At 36.8% G+C, this 23,616-nt stretch overlaps 1 pseudogene; it reads left to right on the forward strand.

The window, feature by feature from the left end:
* LOC105379529 (olfactory receptor 4N2-like) overlaps nt 1–21,682 on the forward strand; it is a 67,679-nt pseudogene extending 45,997 nt beyond the window's left edge.
* Nucleotides 21,683–23,616: the final 1,934 nt, after the last annotated feature.

Raw genomic sequence — 23,616 nt, forward strand, 5'->3', positions numbered from 1 at the left:
GATTAGACCAACATCAAGCTGTGAAACAGAATCAATAATAAAAAAACCTACCAACCAAAGTAAGTCCTGGGCCAGATAGATTCACAGCTGAATTCTACCAGAGTTAAAAAAAGAACTCTACCAATTTTATTGAAACTATTCCAAAAAATTGAGGAGTAGGAGCTCCTCCCTAACTCATTCTATGAAGCCAGTATCATCCTGATACCAAAACCTGGCAGGGACAGAACAAAAAACAAATCATCAGGGCAATATCCCTTATGAATACAGATGCAAATATCATCGACAAAATATTAGCTAATTGAATCCATCAGCACATCAAAAAGTTAACACACTGTGATCAAGTAGGTACTATTCCCGAGAGGTAAGGCTGATTCAATGTATGCAAATCAATAAATGTGATTCATCACATAAACATAATAAGAGACAAAAACCACATGATCATCTCAATAGATGCAGAAAAAGCATTCAATAATATCCAACATCCCTTCATGATAAAAACCCTTAACAGACTAGATTTTGAAGGAATATACCTCAAAACAATAAGAGCCATCTATGACAGACCCACAGCCAACATGATACTGAATGGGCAAAAGCTGGAAGTATTCCCCTTAAGAACTGGTAAAGGACAAGGATGTACATTCTCACCACACTTCTTCAACAGAGTACTTGAAGTCCTAGCCACAGCAATTATGCAAAAGAAAGAAATAAAAGATATCCAAATAGGAAAATAAGAAGTCAAACTATTTCTATTCACTGATGATATAATTCTATACTTAGAAAACTAGCTTTCACAAAAAGGCAACTAGAACTGACATACAATTTTAGGAAGGTTTCAGGACATGAAATCATTGTATAAAAATCAATAGCATTTCCATACATCAATAATGTCCAGGCTGAGAGTGAAATCAAGGACACAATCCCATTTACAATAGGCACAAAGAAAATTAAATACCTTGGAATACAGTTAACCAGAAAACCCTCTACAAAATTAATGGCAAAAACACTGCTGACAGAAATCAGAGATGACAGAAATAAATGGAAAAACATTCCATACTAATAGATTACAAGAATCAATATAGTTAAAATGGCCACACTGCCCAAAGCAATCAACAGTTTAATGGTATTCCTATCTCACCACCAACACCATTCTTCTCAGAATTAGAAAAAAAGATAGAAAATTCATACAGAGCCAAAAAAGCCTGAATAGTCAAAACAATCCCATGCAAAATGTACCACATGAACATATGCACCTACTCTGTACCCAGAAAAATTGAAAAAAATGTAAAAAGAATGAAACTAGAGGCATCACACTACTCAAACTATAAGGCCATTGTAACCAAAACAGTATGCTACTGGTACAGAAACAGACACATAGACCCATAGAACAGAATAGAAAACCCAGAAATAAATCCATGCACTTACAACCATCAGCTCTTCAACAAGGCAGACAAAAATAAGCAATGGAGAAAAGACTCTCTGTTTAGAAGCCCCTACTGAGGAAAGTTGTGGGCTTGAGTCTGGAGCCTAAGAACATTCAACCAAGCTAACTCTCAGGTCTCTCTATTCAATAAATGGTGCTGGGATAACTGGCTAGTCAGATACAAAAAAAAGTGAAACTTGACCCTTATTTTTCACCATATACAAAAATCAACTCAAAATCGATTACAGATTTAAATTTAAGACCTCAGCCTATAGAAATCCTAGAAGAAAACCTAGGAAATACTCTTCTCAGCCACAGCCTTGGCAGAGAATTTTTGGCTGAGTCCTCAAAGGTAATTGCAACAAAAACTAGAGTTGACAAGTGGGACCTCATTAAACAAAAGAGCTTCTGCACAGCAAAAGGAACTATCAATAGAGTAAGCAGAAAACCTACAGAATGGGAGAAAATACTCACAAGCTATGCTTCCAAACAAAGGTCTAATATCCAGAAAGTATAAAGAACTTAAACAAAGCAACAAGCAAAAAAACAAAACAAAAAAAATCCACTTAAAAATGGGCAAATAAGGCAATCCTAAGCAAAAAAGAACAAAGCTGGAGGCATCATATTACCCAACCTCAAACTATACTACAAGGCTACAGTAACCAAAACAGCATGATACTGGTACAAAAACAGACACATAAACCAATGGAACATAATGAGAGGCCAGAAATAGTGCTGCACACCTATAACCATCTGAACTTTCACAAAGAGGATACAAACAAGCAGTAGGGAAAGGACTTTCTATTCAATAAATGGTGCTGGGATAATGGGCAAGCCACATGCAAAAGACTGAAATGTAACCCCTTCTTTCTTTTCCATTTGTTTTATTTTATTTTATTTTGTTACTATTATACTTTAAGTTTTAGGGTACACGTGCACAACGTGCAGGTTTTGTTACACATGTATACATGTGCCATGTTGGTGTGCTGCACCCTACAAAAATCAGTTCAACATGGATTGGAGAATTAAATGTAAAACCGCAAACTATAAAAACCCCAGGAGATAACTTAGGAAATTCCATTCTCAAATAGGCCCTGGCTAGTATTTCATGGTGAAGACACCAAAAACATTGACCACAAAAACCAGAAATTGACAAATGAGACCTAAGTAAACTAAAGAGCTTCTGCAGAGCAGAATGAACTGTCAACAGAGTCAACAGACAACCCACAAAATGGGATAAAATATTTGCAAACTATGCACCCAACAAAGGTCTAATATCCAGAATCTACAAGGAACTTAAATGATCGAGCAAAAAACAATCTCTTTAAAAATTGGGCAAAGGACATGAACAAAGGCTTTTCAAAGACCTACATGCAGCCAAGAAGCATATGAAAAAATGCTCGACATCGCTAAGCACATCAAAACCACAACGAGATACCAACTCACAGCAGTCAGAATGGTTATTATTAAAAAGTCAAAAAATAACATGCTAGTGAGGTTTCAGAGAAGAGGGAACACTTATACGCTGCTGGTGGGAATGTAAATTAGTTCAGCCATTGTGGAAAGCAGCGTGGCAATTTCTCAAAGAAATTAAAAGAGAATTATCATTTAACCTAGCAATCTCATTATTGGGCACATATCCAAAGGAATATAAATCATTTTACCATAAAGACATATGCACACATATGTTCAACACAGTACTATTCTCAATAGCAAAGTTGCCATCAATGGTAAACTGTATAAAGAAAATGTGGTACACAGACACAATGGAATACTATGTAGTCATAAAAAGAATGAGATCATGTCCTTTGCAAGAAAGAGATAAAAGGAAAAGAGTCAAAATTAATGAAACATAAAGTAGACAAACATTAGAAAAAAATTTAAAAGCCAAAAATTGGTATTTTGAAATGATTACCAAAATTGATAAACCCCTAGTAGAATGATGAATTTTAAAAGAGAAACACACAAACTACCAACATTAAGAATAACAAGAGAAGCACTATTAGTCCTAAAGAAACTGAAGGGATAATAAGGGAATATGAAGAATAGCAATATGACAAAACACATTTGCCAAAACTGGCACATCAAGATATACAAAATCTAAATAGGAATATATTTTAAAAGGAAATGAATGTAGAGCTGAAAACTTTCTACTAAGAAAATTCCAGGTTCATATGGCTCAACCAGGGAGTTTTCTAAAATATGTAAGAAACGGGTAATGCCAATTGTATCTAAACTCGTTCATAAAATAGAAGAAAGGATACCATTGCCCAACTTTCTTTATGAGGTCAGTATAACCCTGATACCAAAATCTGACACAGGATTTTGCATTGCAAGGATTTTGCATTACAAGAAAAGATGATTTCTCAAAAACATACACATACAATTTTATTTTTATTTTTTTGAGACGGACTCTGACTCTGTCACCCAGGCTGGAGTGCAGTCGTGCGATCTCGGCTCACTGCAAGCTCCACCTCCCGGGTTCATGCCATTCTCCTGCCTCAGTCTCCCAAATAGCTGAGACTACAGGCGCCCACCACCAAGCCCGGCTAATTTTTTGTATTTTCAGTAGAGACGGGGTTTCACCGTCTTAGCCAGGATGGTCTCGATCTCCTGACCTCATGATTCGCCCTCCTCGGCCTCCCAAAGTGGTGGGATTACAAGCGTGAGCCACCCTGCCCGGCTACACATAAAATTTTAAAACAAAGCATTAGCAATCCGAACATGACAATACATAAAAAGTTGTGACCAGATGGGATGTATCCCAAAAACGCATAGTTGGCTTAACATTTGAAAATCAATCAAGTTAATTGCTATATTCACTGAATGAAGGTGGAAAAATGATATGATCTTGCCAATAGAGGCAGAAAATCATCTGTTTTAACATCCATTCATGTCTGTAAAAAATTCTAAGTACATTGGAAATGAAAGGGAACCTCTCCAGTCCAATAAAGGGCAATTATGAAAAACCTATAGCAACCATTATAACATATGATAAAATCTTGAATGCATGCCCCCTTAAGATTAGGAAGAATGCAAGTATCCATGCTCTCACCACTTCTATTCAACATGTGCTAACCACTGAAATAAAGTTTTTTTTAAAGGTATTAATATTAGGAAGAAAAAAATAAAAATCTATTTATTCATAGAAGAAATGTATGTGTAGAGCATACTATGGTGTCTTTAAAGAACTAGAATTTACAAGGAAATTTATCAAGGGTTGCAGGATACAAGATCAACATTTAAAAACTAAATCTTGGTGAGAATGTGAAACAACTATTAACTCTGAAAAACGAAACAAAGTAAACTTAAATGTTATTATTCTTCTTCCTTTGATTTTTTTGTATAAAGTGTTAAGGATATAAAAATACTAGAAGTCATGCCATAAAAGTAAAAAAAGAAAAAAAAATTCTCTTTGAATTTTTATTTTTTGACTTTTCTTTTTTTTTCTTTTCTTTTTTTTTTTTTTTTTTGAGACGGAGTCTCGCTCTGTCGCCCAGGCTGGAGTGCAGTGGCGCGATCTCGGCTCACTGCAAGCTGCGCCTCCCAGGTTCACGCCATTCTCCTGCCTCAGCCTCCTGAGTAGCTGGGACTACAGGCGCCCGCCACCACGCCCAGGTAATTTTTTTTTTTGTATTTTTTATTACAGACGGGGTTTCACCGTGTTAGCCAGAATGGTCTCGATCTCCTGACCTCGTGATCTGCCCACCTCGGCCTCCCAAAGTGCTGGGATTATAGGCGTGAGCCACCGTGCCCAGCCATTCTTTGACTTTTTAATAATAGTCCTTCTGACTGGTGTGAGATGGTATCTCATTGTGGTTTTGATTTGCATTTCTCTAATGAATAGTCAAGCTGAGCATTTTTTTTTTCATATGCTTATTGGCCGTATACATGTTTTCTTTTGGGAAGTATCTTTTCATATAAAAAGTGGTCATTTTTTTGAGAAAAAAATGAATAAATTCAGAGACAAACTCTTGTTGGTTAAAAATAATATTGAATATATACATGTCAATGCATAAATAGAATACAATTTAATAAAATACCAGTAATACTTTTCATTGTAAAATTAATTCAAGATTATCTAGAAGAGAAAATCTATCCAAGGTGATAAAACTTTCCTAGAAGGATTAAAAAGTCTCCATTTTGAGGACTATTTTAGATCTTCAGATTAATTTTATCTTATCTATTAGAGTGAACATTAAGAGGTGAGTAAGATCCTGGATTATATGCACAATTATGAAAAAAAATCATGTTTTTAAAAGTTTTGGTGGCAAGACTAACCTACTCCAAGATGGGGTTGTTATTCCACTTAAGAACGTATCTAACCTCATTCATTTTGCTTCCTTTCTCTATTTTCCTCTGTGCAGCTCTCTTTATCATTGTTTTCTTTTTATGGTTATATGGATTTGTAGACTGTGCATTTATATGGACTGCCATGCGAGCTGTCACAGCCCAGACAGTGGAGTGTGGTTGGCTTGTGGGTAGTAAGAAGAATTTACCAACAACTGTATAGATTTGAAAAGGAAAGTTGTATTAGATGGAAAGAACGCTGCAGAGGAGTGCAGCAGGGCTCCTCAGCAAGAGAGGACTGAGGACGCCACTGCAGTAGATTTTTCCTTAGGGTATTTATGGACCTTAAAGTGGGAGCTTAAGGGTAATTTTTACCATATTAGCCACATAGGTCATGGTAAACAATTACATTTATAGACATTTTGGTGCCTTGATGTCAGCAGGGATTGCACAATGAGTTTAGAATACATGCATTCCAGAGATGCATAGAAATTCTGGTTACTCACAAATTTTTGGAAAAGAAATCTCATACCAGATGCCAGCTTTACATAATAGGGATGTCTAATTACTTCTGAATTCCTTGGATAAGGAGTTTTGCCTCTGGATGGTCTTGCTCTCCTCATGGACTAGTATCTCTCTGTCTCTTCACCATTTGTTTTTAAGTCATACGACTATCTTTCCATTTATGTCTCTGCTAGTCTTTCTTTTCCCTTTTCTCTTGATTTTTATTTTGATTATTGTAACTTTTTCTGTACTTCTCTCTCTCTCCTTTCTTCTTTCTTTCCTTTTTCTACTCTTACACTTTGTTTTTGAACTGTGAAATAAATTAAAACAAATGTATTTGGTGATAAATTATGTTTATTACCCCCAAATCTGTGTTCTTATTTCACTTGTAAAGTGACCCATAAACTCAGTGTTTTCTTTAAAGCAAAAGATTAAACTAATTTTTAAATAAAATTAATAAAATTAATTTGCATTTATTTTTTCTGACTCAAATAATTTTTAAAATTAATAATCTTTAATGGAAAAATGTTTTTCATCCTTGTTTTAGTTGAGCAGAGTGAAAGGGAACAAATTACAAATACCAAGAGCATGACACATCTTTTCATGCTATGTAGGAGATCACCTTCCCTTTAGCAATTGTTCTATCCTATACTAAGAAACTATTTTCTCTAAGAAGAATTATGCAGCAGTATTCATGAGCTTTTCAATATTTCCTTTGCTAATGTCCTTATCACCGTCAACATCCTACAACTGAGTAAGGTGCTTATCTTGCATGCAAAATTTAAAGGCGTGCCCAAAAACTCAATAGTAGAGATAAACATTTAAATCAATATTTTGAGAAATCAAAATTAATTTTAAAATTTGTGATAAAGTACCAAATTTTAAGCAAAGGCAGGATCAGCAACTGCCATGTTGAGCCATGTTGGAACCTGAGGCAACAGGAAAAATAAATAATATTGGTGAAGTCTTTTTTAAAAATTATACTTTAAGTTCTGGGATACATGCGTAGAATATGCAGGTTTGTTACATAGGTAAATATGTGCCATGGTGGTTTGCTGCACCCATCAACCTGTCACCTACATTAGGTATTTCTCCTAATGCTATCCTTCCCCTAGCCCCCCACCCTGTGACAGGCCCCCGTGTGGGATATTCCCCTCCCTGTGTCCCTGTGTTCTCACTGTTCAACTCCCACTTAAGAGTAAGAACATGTGGTGTTTGGTTTTCTGTTCCTGTGTTAGTTTGCTGAGAATGATGGTTTCTAGCTTCATCCATATCCCTGCAAATGACATGAACTCATCCTTTTTTATGGCTGCATAGTATTCCATAAAGTATATGTGACCCATTTTCTTTATCCAGTCTATGATTGATGGGCATTTGGGTTGGTTCAAAGTCTTTGCTATTGTGAACAGTGCCACAGTAAACATACATGTGCATGTGTCTTTATAGTAGAATGATATATAATTCTTTGGGTATATACCCAGTAATGGGATTGCTGGGTCAAATGGTATTTCTGGTTCTACATCCTTGAGGAATCGCTACACTGTCTTCTACAATGGTTGAACTAATTTACCCTCCCACCAACAGTGTAAAAGGGTTCCTATTTCTCCACATCCTCTCCAGCATCTGCTGTTTCCTGACCTTTTAATGATCACCATTCTAACTGGCATGAGATGGTATCTCATTGTGGTTTTGATTTGCATTTCTCTAATGACCAGTGATGATGAGCTTTTTTTTCATATGTTTGTTGGCTGCATAAATGTCTTCTTTTGAGAAGTGTCTGTTCATATCCTTTGTTCACTTTTTGATAGGGTTGTTTTTTTTCTTGTAAATTTGTTTAAGTTCCCTGTAGATGCTAGATATTAGCCCTTTGTCAGCTGGATAGATTGCAAAAATTTCCTCTCATTCTGTAGGTTGACTGTCCACTCTGATGAGAGGTTTTTTTTTGTTTGTTTGTTTGTTTGTTTGTTTTTTTGCTGTGCAGAAGCTCTTTAGTTTAATTAGATCTCATTTGTCAATTTTGGCTTTTGTTGCCATTGGTTTTGGTGTTTTAGTCATGAAGTCTTTGCCCATGCCTATGTCCTGAATGGTATTGCCTAGGTTTTCTTCTAGGGTTTTTATGGTTTTAGGTTTTCCATTTACTCCTTTAATCCATCTTGAGTTAATTTTGTATAAGGTGTAAGGAAGGGGTTCAGTTTCAGTTTTCTGCATATGTCTAGCCAGTTTTCACAACACCATTTATTAAATAGGGAATCCTTTTCCCATTGCTTGCTTTTGTCAGGCTTGTTAAAGACCAGATGGTTGTAGATGTGTGGCATTATTTCTAAGGCCTCTTTTCTGTTCCATTGGTCTATATATCTGTTTTGGTACCAGTACCATGCTGTTTTGGTTACTGCGGCCTTGTAGTATAGTTCGAAGTCAGGTAGTGTGATGCCTCTTTCTTTTTGCTTAGGATTGTCTTGGCTATACAGGCTCTTTTTTGGTTCTGTATGAAATTTAAAGTTGTTTTTTCTAATTCTGTGAAGAAAATCAATGGTAGCTTGATGGGGATAGCATTGAATCTGTAAATTACTTTGGGCAGTATGGCCATTTTCATGATATTGATTCTTCCTATCCATGAGCACAGAACGTTTTTCCATTTGTGTCCTCTCTTTTTCCTTGAGCAGTGGTTTGTAATTCTCCTTGAAGAGGTCCTTCATATCCCTTGTTAGTTGTATTCGTAGGTATTTCATTCTCTTTGTAGCAGTTGTGAATGGGAGTTCACTCATGATTTGGCTGTTTATCTATTAATGGTATATAGGAATGTTTGTAATTTTTGCACATTGATTTTGTATCCTGAGACTTTGCTGAAGTTGCTTATGAGCTTAAGGAGATTTTGGGCTAAGATGATGGGGTTTTCTAAATATACAATCATGTCATCTGCAAACTTTGACAATTTACCTCCCTCTCTTCCTATTTGAATACGCTTTATTTCTTTCTCTTCCCTGATTGCCCTGGCCAGAACTTCCAATGCTGTGTTGAATAAGAATGGTGAGAAAAGGCATCCTTGTCTTGTGCTGGTTTTCAAAGAGAATGCTTCCAGCTTTTGCCCATTCGGTATGATATTGGCTGTGGGTGTGTCATAAATAGCTCTTATTATTTTCAGATACGTTCCATCAATACCTAGTTTATTTAGAGTTTTTAGCATGAAGGGGTGAATTTTACTGAAGGCCTTTTCTGCATCTATTGAGATAATCATGTGATGTTTGTCATTGGTTCTGTTTATGTGATGGATTATGTTTACTGATTGGGTATGTTGAACCAGCCTTGCATTCCAGGGATGAAGCCAACTTGATCATGGTGGATAAGCTTTTTGATGTGCTGCTGGATTCGGTTTGCCAGTATTTTATTGAGGATTTTTGCATTGATGTTCATCAGGGATATTGGCCTGAAATTTTCTTTTTTATGTGTGTCTCTGCCAGGTTTTGGTATCAGGATGATGCTGGCCTCATAAAATGAGTTAGGGAGGAGTCCCTCTTTTTCTATTGTTTGTAATAGTTTCTGAAGGAATGGTACCAGCTCCTCTTTGTACCTCTGGTAGAATTTGGCTGTGAATCTGTCTGGTCCTGGACTTTTTTTTGGTTGGTAGGCTATTAATTACTGCCTCGATTTCAGAACTTGTTATTTGTCTATTCAGGGATTTGACTTCTTCCTGGTTCAGTCTTGGGAGGGTGTATGTGCCCAGGAATTTATCCATTTCTTGTAGATTTTCTAGTTTATTTGTGTAGAGGTGTTTGTAGTATTCTCTGATGGTAGTTTGTATTTCTATGGGATCAGTGGTGATACCCCTTTATCATTTTCTATTGTGTCTATTTGATTCTTCTTTCTTTTCTTCATTAGTCTGGTTAGTGGTCTATTTATTTTGTTAATGTTTTCAAAAAACCAGCTCCTGGATGCATTGATTTTTTGAAGGGTTTTTTGTGTCTCTATCTCCTTCAGTTCTGCTCTGATCTTAGTTATTTCTTGTCTTCTGCTAGCTTTTGAATTTGTCTGCTCTTACTTCTCTAGTTCTTTTAATTGTAATGTTAGGGTGTTGATTTTAGATCTTTGCTGCTTTAAGCTGTTGGCATTTAGTGCTATAAATTTTCCTGTAAACACTGCATTAGCTGTGTCCCAGAGATTCTCGTACATTGTGTCTTTGTTCTCATTGGTTTCAAAGAACTTATTTATTTCTGCCTAAATTTCGTTATTTACCCAGTAGTCATTCAGGAGCAGGTTGTTCAGTTTCCATGCAGTTGTGCAGTTTTGAGTGAGTTTCTTAATCCTGAGTTCTAATTTGATTGCACTGTGATCTGAGAGACTATTTGTTATGATTTCTGTTCTTTTGCATTTGCTGAGGAGTGTTTTACTTCCAATTATGTGGTCAATTTTATAATAAGTGTGATGTGGTGCTGAAAAGAATGTATATTCTGTTGATTTGGGGTGGAGAGTTTTGTAGATGTCTATTAGTTCTGCTTGGTCCAGAGCTGAGTTCAAGTCCTGAATGTCCTTGTTAATTTTCTGTCTCTTGATCTGTCTAATATTGACAGTGGGGTGTTAAAGTCTCCCACTATTATTGTGTGGGAATGTAAGTCTCTTTGTATATCTCTAAGGACTTGCTTTATGAATATGGGTGCTCCTGTATTAGGTGCATACATATTTGGGATAGTTAGCTTTTCTTGTTGCATTGATCCGTTTACCATTATGTAATGCCCTTTTTTGTCTTTTTTGATCTTTGTTGGTTTAAAGTCTGTTTTATCAGAGACTAGGATTGCAACCCCTGCTTTTTTTTGGCTTTCAATATGCTTGGTAAATCTTCCTCCATCCCTTCATTTTGAGCCTATGTGTGTCTTTGCACGTGAGATGGGTCTCCTGAATACAGCACACCAATGGGTCTTGAGTCTCTATCCAATTTACCAGTCTGTGTATTCTAACTGGGGACTTAACCCATTTACATTTAAGGTTAACATTGTTATGTGTGAATTTGATCCTGTCATTATGATGTTATCTGGTTATTTTGCCTGTTAGTTGATGCAGTTTTTTCATAGCTTCAATAGTCTTTACAATTTGGTATGTTTTTGCAGTGGCTGGTACCAGTTTTTCTTTCCATATTTGGTGCTTCCTTCTGGAGGTCTTGTAAGGCAGGCCTGGTGGTGACAAAAATCTGTTAGTATTTTCTTATCTGTAAAGGATTTTATTTCTCCTTCATCTATGAAACTTTGTTTGGCTGGATATTAAATTCTGGTTTGAAAATTCTTTTCTTTAAGAACGTTGAATATTGGCCCCCACTTCTTTCTGGCTTGTAGGGTTTCTGCAGAGAGATCCACTGTTAGTCTGATGGACTTCCCTTTGTGGGTAACTACTTGACCTTTCTTCCTGGCTGACCTTAACATTTTTTCCTTCATTTCAACCTTGGTGAATCTGACAATTATGTTTCTTGGGGTTGCTCTTCTCGAGGAGTATCTTTGTGGTGTTCTCTGTATTTCCTGAATTTGAATGCTGGCCTGTCTTGCTAGGTTGGGAAAGTTCTCCTGGATAATATCCTGAAGAGTGTTTTCCAACTTGGTTCCATTCTCCCCGTCACTTTCAGGTACACCAATCAAACGTAGGTTTGGTCTTTTCACATAGTCCCATATTTCTTGGAGGATTTGTTCATTCCTTTTCAATCTTTTTTCTCCAATCTTGTCTTCACGCTTTATTTCATTAAGTTGATCTTCAATCCCTGGTATCCTTTCATCCACTCAATTGATTTGGCTATTGATACTTGTGTATGCTTCATGAAGTTCTCGTGCTGTGTTTCTCAGCTCCATCAGGTTATTTATGTTCTTTTCTAAGGTGGTTATTTTAGTTATCAATTCCTCTAACCTTTTTCAAGGTTCTTAGCTTCCTTGTTTTGGGTTAGAACATGCTCCTTTAGCTCAGAGGAGTTTGTTACTACCCATCTTTGGAAGCCTACTTCTGTCAACTTGTCAAACTCATTCTCCATCCAGTTTTGCTCCCTTGCTGGCAAGGAGTTGTGATACTTTGGAGGAGAAGAGGTGTTCTGGTTTTTGGAATTTTCAGCCTTTTTGCTCTGGTTTTTCCTCATCTTCTTGGACCTATCTAACTTTGTTCTTTGATGTTGGTGACCTTCAGTTGGTGTTTTTGGGTGGACATCCTTTTTGTTGATGTTGATGCTATTTCTTTCTGTTTGTTAGTTTTCCTTCTAACAGTCAGGCCCTTCTGCTGCAGGTCTGCTGGAGTTTGCTGCGGGTCCACTCCAGACCCTGTTTACCTGGGTGTCATCGCAGATGCTGCAGAACAGCAAAGACTACTGCCTGTTCCTTCTTCTGGAAGCTTTGTCCCAGAGGGGCACCAGCCAGATGCCAGCTGGAGATCTCCCGTATGAGGTGTCTGTCAACCCCTGCTAGGAGGTGTCTCCCAGTCAGGAGGCACAGGCATCAGGGAGCCACTTGAGGAGGCAGTCTGTCCCTTAGCAGAGTTCAAGCGCTTTGCTGGGAGATCTGCTGCTCCCTTCAGAGATGGCAGGCAGGAACATTTAAGTCTGCTGAAGCTGTGCCCACAGCCGCCCTTCCCCCCAGGTGCTCTGTCCCAGGGAGATGGGATTTTTATCTATAAGCCCCTGACTGGGGACGCTGCCTTTCTTTCAGAGATACCCTGCCCAGAGAGGAGAAATCTAGAGAAGCAGTCTGGCTATAGCTGCTTTGCTGGGTTGCAGTGGGCTCTGCCCAGTTCAAACTTCCTGGTGGTTTTATTTACACTGTGAAGAGAAAAGTGCCTACTCAAGCCTCAGTAATGGCGGATGCCCCTACCCCAACCAAGCTCGAGTGTCCCAGGTCAACTTCAGAGTGCTGTGCTGGCAGCAAGAATTTCAAGCCAGTGGATCTTAGCTTGCTGGGCTCCATGGGGGTGGGATCCACTGAGATAGACCACTTGACTCCCTGGCTTCAGCCCCATTTCCAGGGGAGTGAATCGTTCTATCTTGCTGGCATTCCGGGTGCCACTGGGGTATGAAAAAAACTCCTGCTTCTACCTCAGTGTCTGCCCAAATGGCTGCCTAGTTTTGTGCTTGAAACCCAGGGCCCTGGTGGTGTAGGCACCCAAGGGAATCTCCTGGTCTGCAGGTTGCAAAAACCATGGGAAAAGCCTAGTATGTGGATCAGAATCCACCATTCCTCTTGGCACAGTCTCTCATGGCTTCCCTTGGCCGGGGAGGGAGTTCCCTGAACCCTTCCACTTCCCGGGTGAGGTGATGCCCCACCCTGCTTTGGCTCATCCTCCGTAGGCTGAACCCACTGTCTAACCAGTCCCAATGAGATGAGCCGGGTACCTCAGTTGGAAATGCAGAAATCACCCACCTTCTGCGTTGGTCTTGCTGGGAGCTGCAGACTGGAGTTGCTCTTATCTGGCCATCTTGCCAGCCACCCTCTAAAGTTTGGTGAAGCCTTTAATTGAAAAATTTGAGTCTAGTCATATATATATATATATATATATATATATATATATATATATATATATGTATATATGTAATTTTTGCCTCATCCTACCCCTGCTTGCTTTTGTGGTACAAAGCAATAATCTCTCATCATTTATTTAATATTTTTCTCCTTTTGAATTTTATTATAACATGTAAATTTACTTCTCTCAAACTTCTATTTACTTCTGGACTAAAAAGTATGCTTCTGAATAGGGTTCTGTCTTTTTCACAGTAGAATTTTTGTTTTAGAACTAGAAAGGAAGTCAGCTTGGCATTATGTAGCACATTTAAAAAAAATTAGTTCTTGCAAAGCTCTGGTATTTTTCTTTGCCTTATTTAGTTGATAACTAATATAGTTTGCCTAATAACTCCCTTTGGAAGCATTCAGTGGGTCACGGTAGTCTCAAATCTCAAAAGCACTTTCTCCATTACAATAGAGAGATTTTAAAATCTAAGGTTCCTCATGTGGCAATGAACATTTATGAACAATGGCAAAATTGGTTAGTCTTACTAGGAGAGGGAGGATGGCTACTTTGTGAGAGTAACATAAGATCCCTGAAGGCTTAAATTTCTGGAGCTCTTCATATATATACAAGAAACAAGAAGAAAGAGACAATAGAAAAAATATTGCAACTATTTTACTTGTTCACCTGATATCTTAGATTGCAGTTGAATAGACAGGTCAGAGTATTAGCAGGAATAGCCACAGGCTAAGGTCTAAATTCAGCAGTGGGGCACTGTGTATTCTCTCTCCTAATAGATCTCCATCTGCATTTAATGCTTGGGATTACTTTACTGGTGAACTAAACCTTTAATTCTATTATAATTTTCCATAGACTCAAGAGAATTGACATCTGGTGTTAAAAAACAAAAAATCATACAAATGACTGATATGTATCATTTTCCTTATTAAATATGGAAGAAAGGGGAGGAGGATGCAGAAATGGTTGGCTAAAAGCTCCAGAGAAAAACTTAACAGATTTTATGATTTTGCGGAAGGTAAGTCCTTGACCTCTTCATTTTCACATTCAGCAGGTATGAAAGTTTCTTCTGTTACATATGGTTCTATCATTCATTCATAGAATTTTGACAGAAAGCTGTAGAACTGAAAAAAAGCTTGATATACAAACTACTAGCTGTATTGGCAATTTTACATGAAGGCATTACTGACCCTCCACAGCTTCTTTCTATTAACCATTCAGATTTATGCAACTACCATTATCCCAGGGGTTACTCAAAGACATTGACAAAAGATCTAGCAGCATTCTGTCCATTCAATATAACTACTTTTAACATCTAAATATTTTCAGGATTAACTTTGGTTGAAGCATACTTGAATGAATTACATATTAATACCATCATCACCTCATTTGATCCTCATGTTACCCCCATCAGACCCAAAGAGTCAATACATTAAACTATTTGGTAGATGAAAACTCAGGCTTCTGAAAGCTAAGTGACTTTGCCAGAATCACACAGTAAGTTAATTGCTCAGTCAAGGCATGAGAGTCAGATAAATGATTCCCAAACCAGGGATCCTTTTATGTTATTACATTGCCTAAAAAACTGGCATTCAAATGGAATTTAGAGGGCATTTAATCTGGCCATCTCATTTGATTGATGAATAAATTTTCTGGCTAAGAATCTACACATTTGTTTAGTGCTTTATATACTCAGCATCAGCATCAGTATAAATTAAATTTTCTATTATGTTCTCAGCCTGATTCACACTTTTTAGAAAATATAAAACTTATTTCATACTCAAATAATTTACTAACCTTGTGTAGTTAGTAAATTATTACTACTAATATTACATCTCTATTTTTGAAATTTACATTCAATATATTTATTTCATTAGGATGCTACTAATGAAATTAACTTTTTTTTAAAAAAAAGGTGAATCATCTCATTTTTATCAGGTTCACTACATATATATGAAGTAGTTGATAAATGACTCAGCGTTGGCCAATTGCAAGAATACCACTTAAAAGTAAATGGTTATTACTGAAGAGTGAATTATATATTTTCATTTTGTAGACTTAACATTTAAAATGGAAGATGGTGGGAAGCACACACATTTCTCAGTCTTGTTGGAAAAGCAAATGACAACGAGATTTTCTGTTTCTTGTTTCGTTTTGTTTTTAGATGCATTAGCAAGACAGGTGTGGGTAGAATGGAGTAGCCATGAACATAGACAAAAAGTGGAGAGAGTGAAAACATATCAGAGTGAAAAAACATAGATAAATGTAAGGGAGAAGAAAGAAAAAAAAATAAAGAACAATATTTAAAGAGAACAAAATAAATAGAGCCAGAAAGAAACAGAGAAGGGGAAAAGAACAGGCAACAAATTAACAGGGAAAAGAAATCACAACCAGAAAAAAAAAGAAAATGAACTGCTTATTGATGAATAAAGAAAGAGAGAAAAAGAAAAATAAGGAAGGAGGCGGAGTAAGCACATAAGATCTCTAAACACTTGGCTCCAGCAGCCCATCTGACCACACTCAGACTCCAGGCATGCACACACAGAGTTGCCTGGAGATGTTTCTGTGTCTCCACCTTGCAAATGTGGTGAACCCTTCTCCTTCATCTTCCCTATTTCTGCAGTGTGTCATCATGGCCAGAAACTGATCAATCCACGAATTAGCTGAAGTGGCAAGAACGATTAGAGATACAGTGAGGAAGGTATGGTACAGAGTTTTGACAGAACTTTCTCTACTAATTTGGCTAAAATAGAACACTTTACTCTGATGACGTCATCATTTATGGATTTTTTTTTTTTGGTAGAAACTTATTTTATTTTGCTTAGAGGAATGCTCATCTGATTAGTCTCCGCGTCTATTCCAACCACAATTTAGAGAAGGTAGAGATAATTCAAAGATGGAAGTGGGACAGGGAAGAAAGTTGATCAAGATGTCAAGTAGTACAGAATCCCATCTGTTAAGAAACAGTGGAAAAATAACAGTGAGGCTGGGACACAGGCAGAATGGAAGAGCTTATAACCTTCAATTTCAAAGTCCTTCAGAAATCCTCAAATGTCTCAGGGATATTGTTAAATGCTAACACATCAAGAAATACCTCACTCTATGTTAGCATGTGGGATGCATAAAACATATAAGTAAGTACAGTTGACTCCAGAAAAACATGGGTTTGAACCACACGTGTCCACTTATATGTGGATTTTCTTCCACCTCTGCCACCCCTGAGACAGCAAAACGAACCCTTCCTTTTCCTTCTCCTCAGCCTACTCAGTGGGAAGACGACAACGATAAGAACTTTATGATGATTTGCTTCCACTTAATGAACAGTATTTATATCTTCCTTTCCTTATGATTTTGTTATATTTTATTTTCTGTAGCTTAATTTATTGTAGGAATATAGTATATAATACATAAAACAAAAATATTTGTTATTCAACTGTTTATGTTACCAGCAAAGCTTCTGATCAACAGTAATCGTTAGAAGCTAAGTTTTTAGGGAGTCAGGGTATGTGCTAATTTTTTATTGCACAGGGGATCTGCCCCCTTAACTCCTGCATTGTTCAATTGTCAACTGTAGAAGGGGCTCTTGATTTAAGGAAATATTTATATAGGCAGATAGTAGAATAAATGTTGAGACAAATGGCTGGCAAAGGGGGAAAAGGTTAAGACATGAGCAGAAAAGCTCATTTGAAGGATCTACAAAATATTTTTTCCTATTACAATTTTGCATGTGTTTGTATGTGTGTGCATACGTGTGTGTTCATGTGGTATTTGCATATGTATATATGATGATGTGTTAAAATATGACTTTCATAAATTCCACATGTGGCTGCCAGTAACACCCAGAAATTTCTGTATTAACCACTCTATTCCACTCTAGGGATACATAAAGCAGATAGTTTTAATGCTTCTTAAAATATGTACCCTAAGATGACACTATATAGATGTGCTGTCTGTCTTTTGGTGTTTGTTTGCTTGTTTGTTTGCTTGTTTGGTGTTTGTTTGCCTGATTTTCTATTTCTCTCTTCTTTCTTCCCTCATCCTCTATCTTCTTGTCTTTCTTTTCTAGGTACTGTTGCAGTAGCATTTTCTGTCAAAGATTTTCCCTTCCTTCCGTACCCCATGTGCTAGAGCACTTATTTATTTATTTATTTATTTATTTATTTATTTATTTTGAGACAGAGTCTCGCTCTGTCACCCAGGCTGGAGTGCAGTGGCATGATCTCGGCTCACTGAAAGCTCTGCCTCCCGGGTTCACACCATTCTCCTGCCTCAGCCTCCTGAGTAGCTGGGACTACAGGCAACCACCACCACTACGGCTAATTTGTTTGTATTTTTTTAGTAGAGACGGGGTTTCACCATGTTAGCCAAGATGGTCTCGATCTCCTGACCTCGTGATCCACCCGCCTTGGCCTCCCAAAGTGCTGGGATTACAGGCATAAGCCACCACGCCCGGCCGCTAGAGCACTTATTTAAAACAAATACACTGTTTAGTTAAATCATATTAAGAATATCCTTTTATATTACAGTTTGTATTTTGTTGTAGGCCAACAATTTTCAAACTTAAAAAATTTACTCCCCTAAGACATTTTTTGAATATATAACCTTAAATGTATGCATATTTATTTATAAAGTATATATAAACCATTGTACTATGTTATCCATTATAAATATTAAAAAGTGAATTTAGAAAAGAATGAAATGTAGTGATACATATAAAATGTTATACACTGACTAAATATAGATAAATTACTATGTTCTTTCTATACTTCAGTGGATTATCATGTGCACCTTCTGGAATGAGTATACCCCATGAAAACAATCTGAATTTTAAATATGAATTTTCTTCACAATGGACATTGTTTTTCTTTTTATTTAAACAAGGTTGAACTTACAAATCAAAGCAATACGGGAGTGATTTTAGACTAGCAATATTATCTTTAGTTATTCAGATGCACAAAAAGAACATTCATTCATTGAAGCTGTGATTAAAAAATTCTTTATCTATTTAAACTGAATAGTATACACTTGCATTATCCTACTACTTATCAAGCAGAGCAAAAAATAAAACTCACTCTAAACTTAAGTAATATAACTACAGGTTATTTCTCATCTTTGAAATGGAAGAATAACACTACAGTATCTTTATGGCTACTTACAGTGTATCTATGCTATGATCTTATGAGTTGAGATAATGATATTTTAAAGTTTTATACTTGCAAATTTTATATTGTAGCATATTTTTTGTTAAAGGGCTGTATCTTGGGTGTCATACTTGGAACAGAGAAAGAAATGTGTTGTGAGTTTATTAGTATTTGAAACTCAAAAAGTGCTAAATAAGCTGCATGCAGGTGTGGAGTGGCCACAGGAGTGGTGTTCAAACAGAGTTACAGCTGGAGCACTGTGCCTGTGTTAGGTCAAAAGTGGAGCTATAGCTTGGGATTCTCGTGAACAGTCTGGGAAAAGAGTATTCAAGGATATCAGACCAAAAGGAGTATAGTAAGAAGTAAATTAGATGATAAGACAGAGGGCAAGGAAGAGAGTTACCAGCTAGGAACTGGGAATTACACAGGAATTGAGGGAAGAAACTGTCTAGGAAAATTTGGGGGTGGTGTGGACAAGGAGAAAAAGGGTCTAATCCCAAGAAAAGAACTAACCCTCAAGCATAGTATATCCAAAAAACTCAAAGACCTTCAGATTTGAAGTTAGGTTGTGTCTCCATTAGGAAACTTACATGATTTAGGAATGTAGGAATCCCAACGTGGAGGATACCAGACTCCTAACATGGAAAATGATTCTGTAGAAGCACATGGTTGAATGGGAATAAAACTGTAGCTTTGAGAACCATATTTTGTTTTCATTTTTCATTTTAAATTTGGAGAAATTAAGGTAACAGAGTTTCCCCAGAATAGGAGAGGGATGGGAAGTGTTGTTTTTAGCTGAAGTACTATATGTGCCAAATATTTTTTAGCTGTAGAACTAGTATCTAGTTGGAAGACATAGCAATAACAATTAATTCTGCTTCTTAATGTACTGCAGGCCAGGGAAATGGAAAGCGAGAACAGAACAGTGATAAGAGAATTCATCCTCCTTCGTTTGACCCAGTTTCGAGATATTTAGCTCCTGGTCTTTGTGCTAGTTTTAATATTCTACTTCTTCATCCTCCCTGGAAATTTTCTCATTATTTTCACCATAAGGTCAGACCCTGGGCTCACAGCCCCCCTCTATTTATTTCTGGGCAACTTGGCCTTCCTGGATGCATCCTACTCCTTCATTGTGGCTCCCAGGATGTTGGTGGACTTCCTCTCTGAGAAGAAGGTAATCTCCTACAGAGGCTGCATCACTCAGCTCTTTTTCTTGCACTTCCTTGGAGGAGGGGAGGGATTACTCCTTGTTGTGATGGCCTTTGACTGCTACATCACCATCTGCCTGCCTCTGCAGTATTCAACTGTCATGAACTCTAGAGCCTGCTATGCAATGATGTTGGCTCTGTGGCTTGGGGGTTTTGTCCACTCCATTATCCAGGTGGTCCTCATCATCCGCTTGCCTTTTTGTGGCCCAAACCAGCTGGACAACTTCTTCTGTGATGTCCGACAGGTCATCAAGCTGGCTTGCACCGACATGTTTGTGGTGGAGCTTCTGATGGTCTTCAATAGTGGCCTGATGACACTCATGTGCTTTCTGGGACTTCTGGCCTCCTATGCAGTCATTCTTTGTCGCATACGAGCGTCTTCTTCTGAGGCAAAAAACAAGGCCATGTCCACATGCACCACCCATATCATTGTTATATTCTTCATGTTTGGACCTGGCATCTTCATCTACACGTGCCCCTTCAGGGCTTTCCCAGCCGACAAGGTGGTTTCTCTCTTCCACACAGTGATTCTTCCTTTGTTGAATCCTGTCATTTATACCCTTCATAACCAGGAAGTGAAAGCTTCCATGAAAAAGGTGTTTAATAAACACATAGCCTGAAAAAGGGCAAAAAAAAAAAAAAGAATAAAAATAGACTGTAGAATTTTATCTGAAATTGATTTGTTTATTTCCAAGTACTGCAATCATTGAATACCTCCCATTTGTCAGGACTATTCTAGGAACTGAAGAAAGAAAGTATTGAGGCAGATAAGGTCTATCTGCTCTCCAAGAGATACAACCTAGTAAAAATAGACCGCCGTTAAGGTAGAAAATAAACAGCATAGTTTCAGGAAGAGATACTGCTCTGTAAAAACTAAAACGAAAAGTGAAATGATAAACTGTGACTCTGGATTGGGAGTAACCAATTTGTGTTTAATAATAAAAAAAGGCCTTGAAGAGCTGACATTTTGGATCATATCTGGATAAACTGAAGAAGCCAAACATGCAAACATTTGTGGCTATAGTATGGTAGACAGAGGGCACAGGCAGTGCAAAAACTCAAAGATGATGATGAACTTGGTATATTTGAAGAATACAATAAAGTCCATGTTACCAAGAATATAGTAATTTAATGTGAAAATGATTAAACTTAAAGTTAGAGATACTGGTAGTGTCAAAAACATATGGTCTACATAGTAAATGTGAGTTTTCATTTTATTACAATTACAATAAGAAGCCATTCTGTGGCTTTAAGCAAAAGAGTGATTCCTCTACTGAAGGGTCATAAATGACTTAGGGCTGTAAACTCAAGATTCTATGCAGATATCAAAGAGTTGAAAAATATCATTAAGAGGAAAATATTATATTTGTAAGTGCACTTTGAAAGATATTAAACTACCAATTTTTCTTACATACATAAGCAGAGAGTGGCAAAAGAAAGCTGGTTACTTTTACTGAAAAAGATCAAAAAAAATTTTACTTTTTTTTTCTGGAGCTTCATTATTAATCCTAGCAAATTTTTATGACTTTTAGCTGTATGTTTGACCTTATTGCCAATTGATTTCACTGTAAGTTTAATAATGACAGTCTTTTCATAGACCAATCAGGATTTTGTGTCAGAGAGAAGAAACCATTCCAGCTATTTTAAACAAAACATCATTTAATATCAAGAGAGGTGTTCACAAAATCACTGCCAAGTCTAGAAGAGCAGACTATAGGCTGGACACCCAGAGATGACTTACAGACTAACACAGGTGACCTATGTTGTCAGGGAAGTTGTTCTTGCTACAATCTTAGCCATCTGTTGTCTGAAAAACACTACAATTTTAGCCATGTGCCTGGGATCAAGTTGATGATCCGGAATCACTTTGGACCTAACAAATCGCCCCTAGTATAACAGAAGCCTATCCTACTGCCTCCCTTTAACTAGCTTACTACATATTCAAATCTCAAATGAGTGCATTAAATGGGCAGCATCCAAAACATCTGGAACCCCAAATGCAAGGGGGTCAAAAATTGAGTTTTAAAATATTTTATTTTTGATAAAAACCAAAGTTTATACTTAGGAATATAAATTTTGTACATGGTAAAAATATTCAGACTATAGAAAAAGTGGTCTGAATCTTCAAATAATCCTTCTCTATTATCACTCTGTTTATTGTGTTGCTTCCTGTTTTACTGAGAAAGGTAACAGGTGAGAATTCCTTAATCTCCCATCACTACCACTATACAACCTGCATCTGTGATTAAGTTTCCTTTAACTTCTCCTGAAACTGGGTGACCTGATCCTGCTCCTACAGAAGTAAACCCTTCCACCTGTGCACCAGATTCCATCCCGTCCTCTCTACTAAAGGCAATTACTCTGGTAACTCTCCTTTCTCTCACCTATAACATGAACTTTGTCCTCCCTATTGGGTGTAACCTTTAGCGTGTAACCGCATTTATTCCCTCCTAAATAAAACCTTCTTGCCACCTTTTCCCCTGTCCATGTCACTTCATGAGTCTTTGTGTCTCCACATGAATTTTAGGATTTTTAAAAATTTCTTTAAAAAATGATGTTGGGATTTTCACAGAGATTGTATTGAATCTATAGATTGCTTCAGGTAGTGTGGATATTTTAACAATATTAATTGTTCTATTCCATTAACACAGAAAGTCTTTCCGTTTATTTCCATCTGCTTTAATTTCTTTCATCAATGTTTTACAGTTTAAGTGTACAAGTCTTTCACCTCTTTGTTTAAGTTTACTCCTAAATATTTTATTTTTTGGTTCTAATGGAAATGAGATTAATTTCTTAATTTCCCTTTTAGATAGTTCTTTTTTATTGTATAGAATTGAAATGATTTGTTTCTTTTGTAGATTTTTAAATTTATAAATATTTAATTGACACATAAAGATCAAATATATTCAAGGTATATGAAATGATAATTTGATATACATATACATTGTATAATGATTACCACAATCAAATTAACACATTAATCACCATCCATGTTGTACATTAGTTACCAAGAATGTGTTTATCTTAGGGCTGAAAGTTTGTACCATTTGACCAACATATTCCCCTTTTCTCTGACTTCAAAACCCTCTGACAACCACTGTTCTACTCTCTCCTTCAATGAGCTTTTTTTTTTTTTTTTCAGATTCTACATGTAAGTGAGATCATATAGTGTCTGTCTTTCTGTGTCTGGCTTATTTCACCTACCGTAATGTCTATTAGGTTTATCTATGTTGCTGCAAAGGGCAAAACTTCCTTCTTTCTTTGGCTGGATGATAATCTATCACATATATGTACCACAATTTTTATACTCATTCATCAATTGATGTACACTTGGGTTGTTTCCATATTTTGGCTATAGTGAATGATGCTGCAGTGAACATAGCAGTATAGTTATCTTTTAGAGATACTTATTTCATTTCCTTTGGGTATATATCTAGAAGTGAGATTGCTGGAACATATGGAAGTTTTATTTTTTATTTTTTGAAGAACATCTATATTGTTTTCCATAATGCCTGTGCCAATTTACATTCCCATCAATACTGTGAAAGGGTTCCCTTTTCTCCACATCCTTACCAACACT

The sequence above is a fragment of the Homo sapiens genome (genome assembly GCF_000001405.40).
Source record: "Homo sapiens chromosome 15 unlocalized genomic scaffold, GRCh38.p14 Primary Assembly HSCHR15_RANDOM_CTG1".
In the NCBI taxonomy this organism is placed as follows: Eukaryota; Metazoa; Chordata; class Mammalia; order Primates; family Hominidae; genus Homo; species Homo sapiens.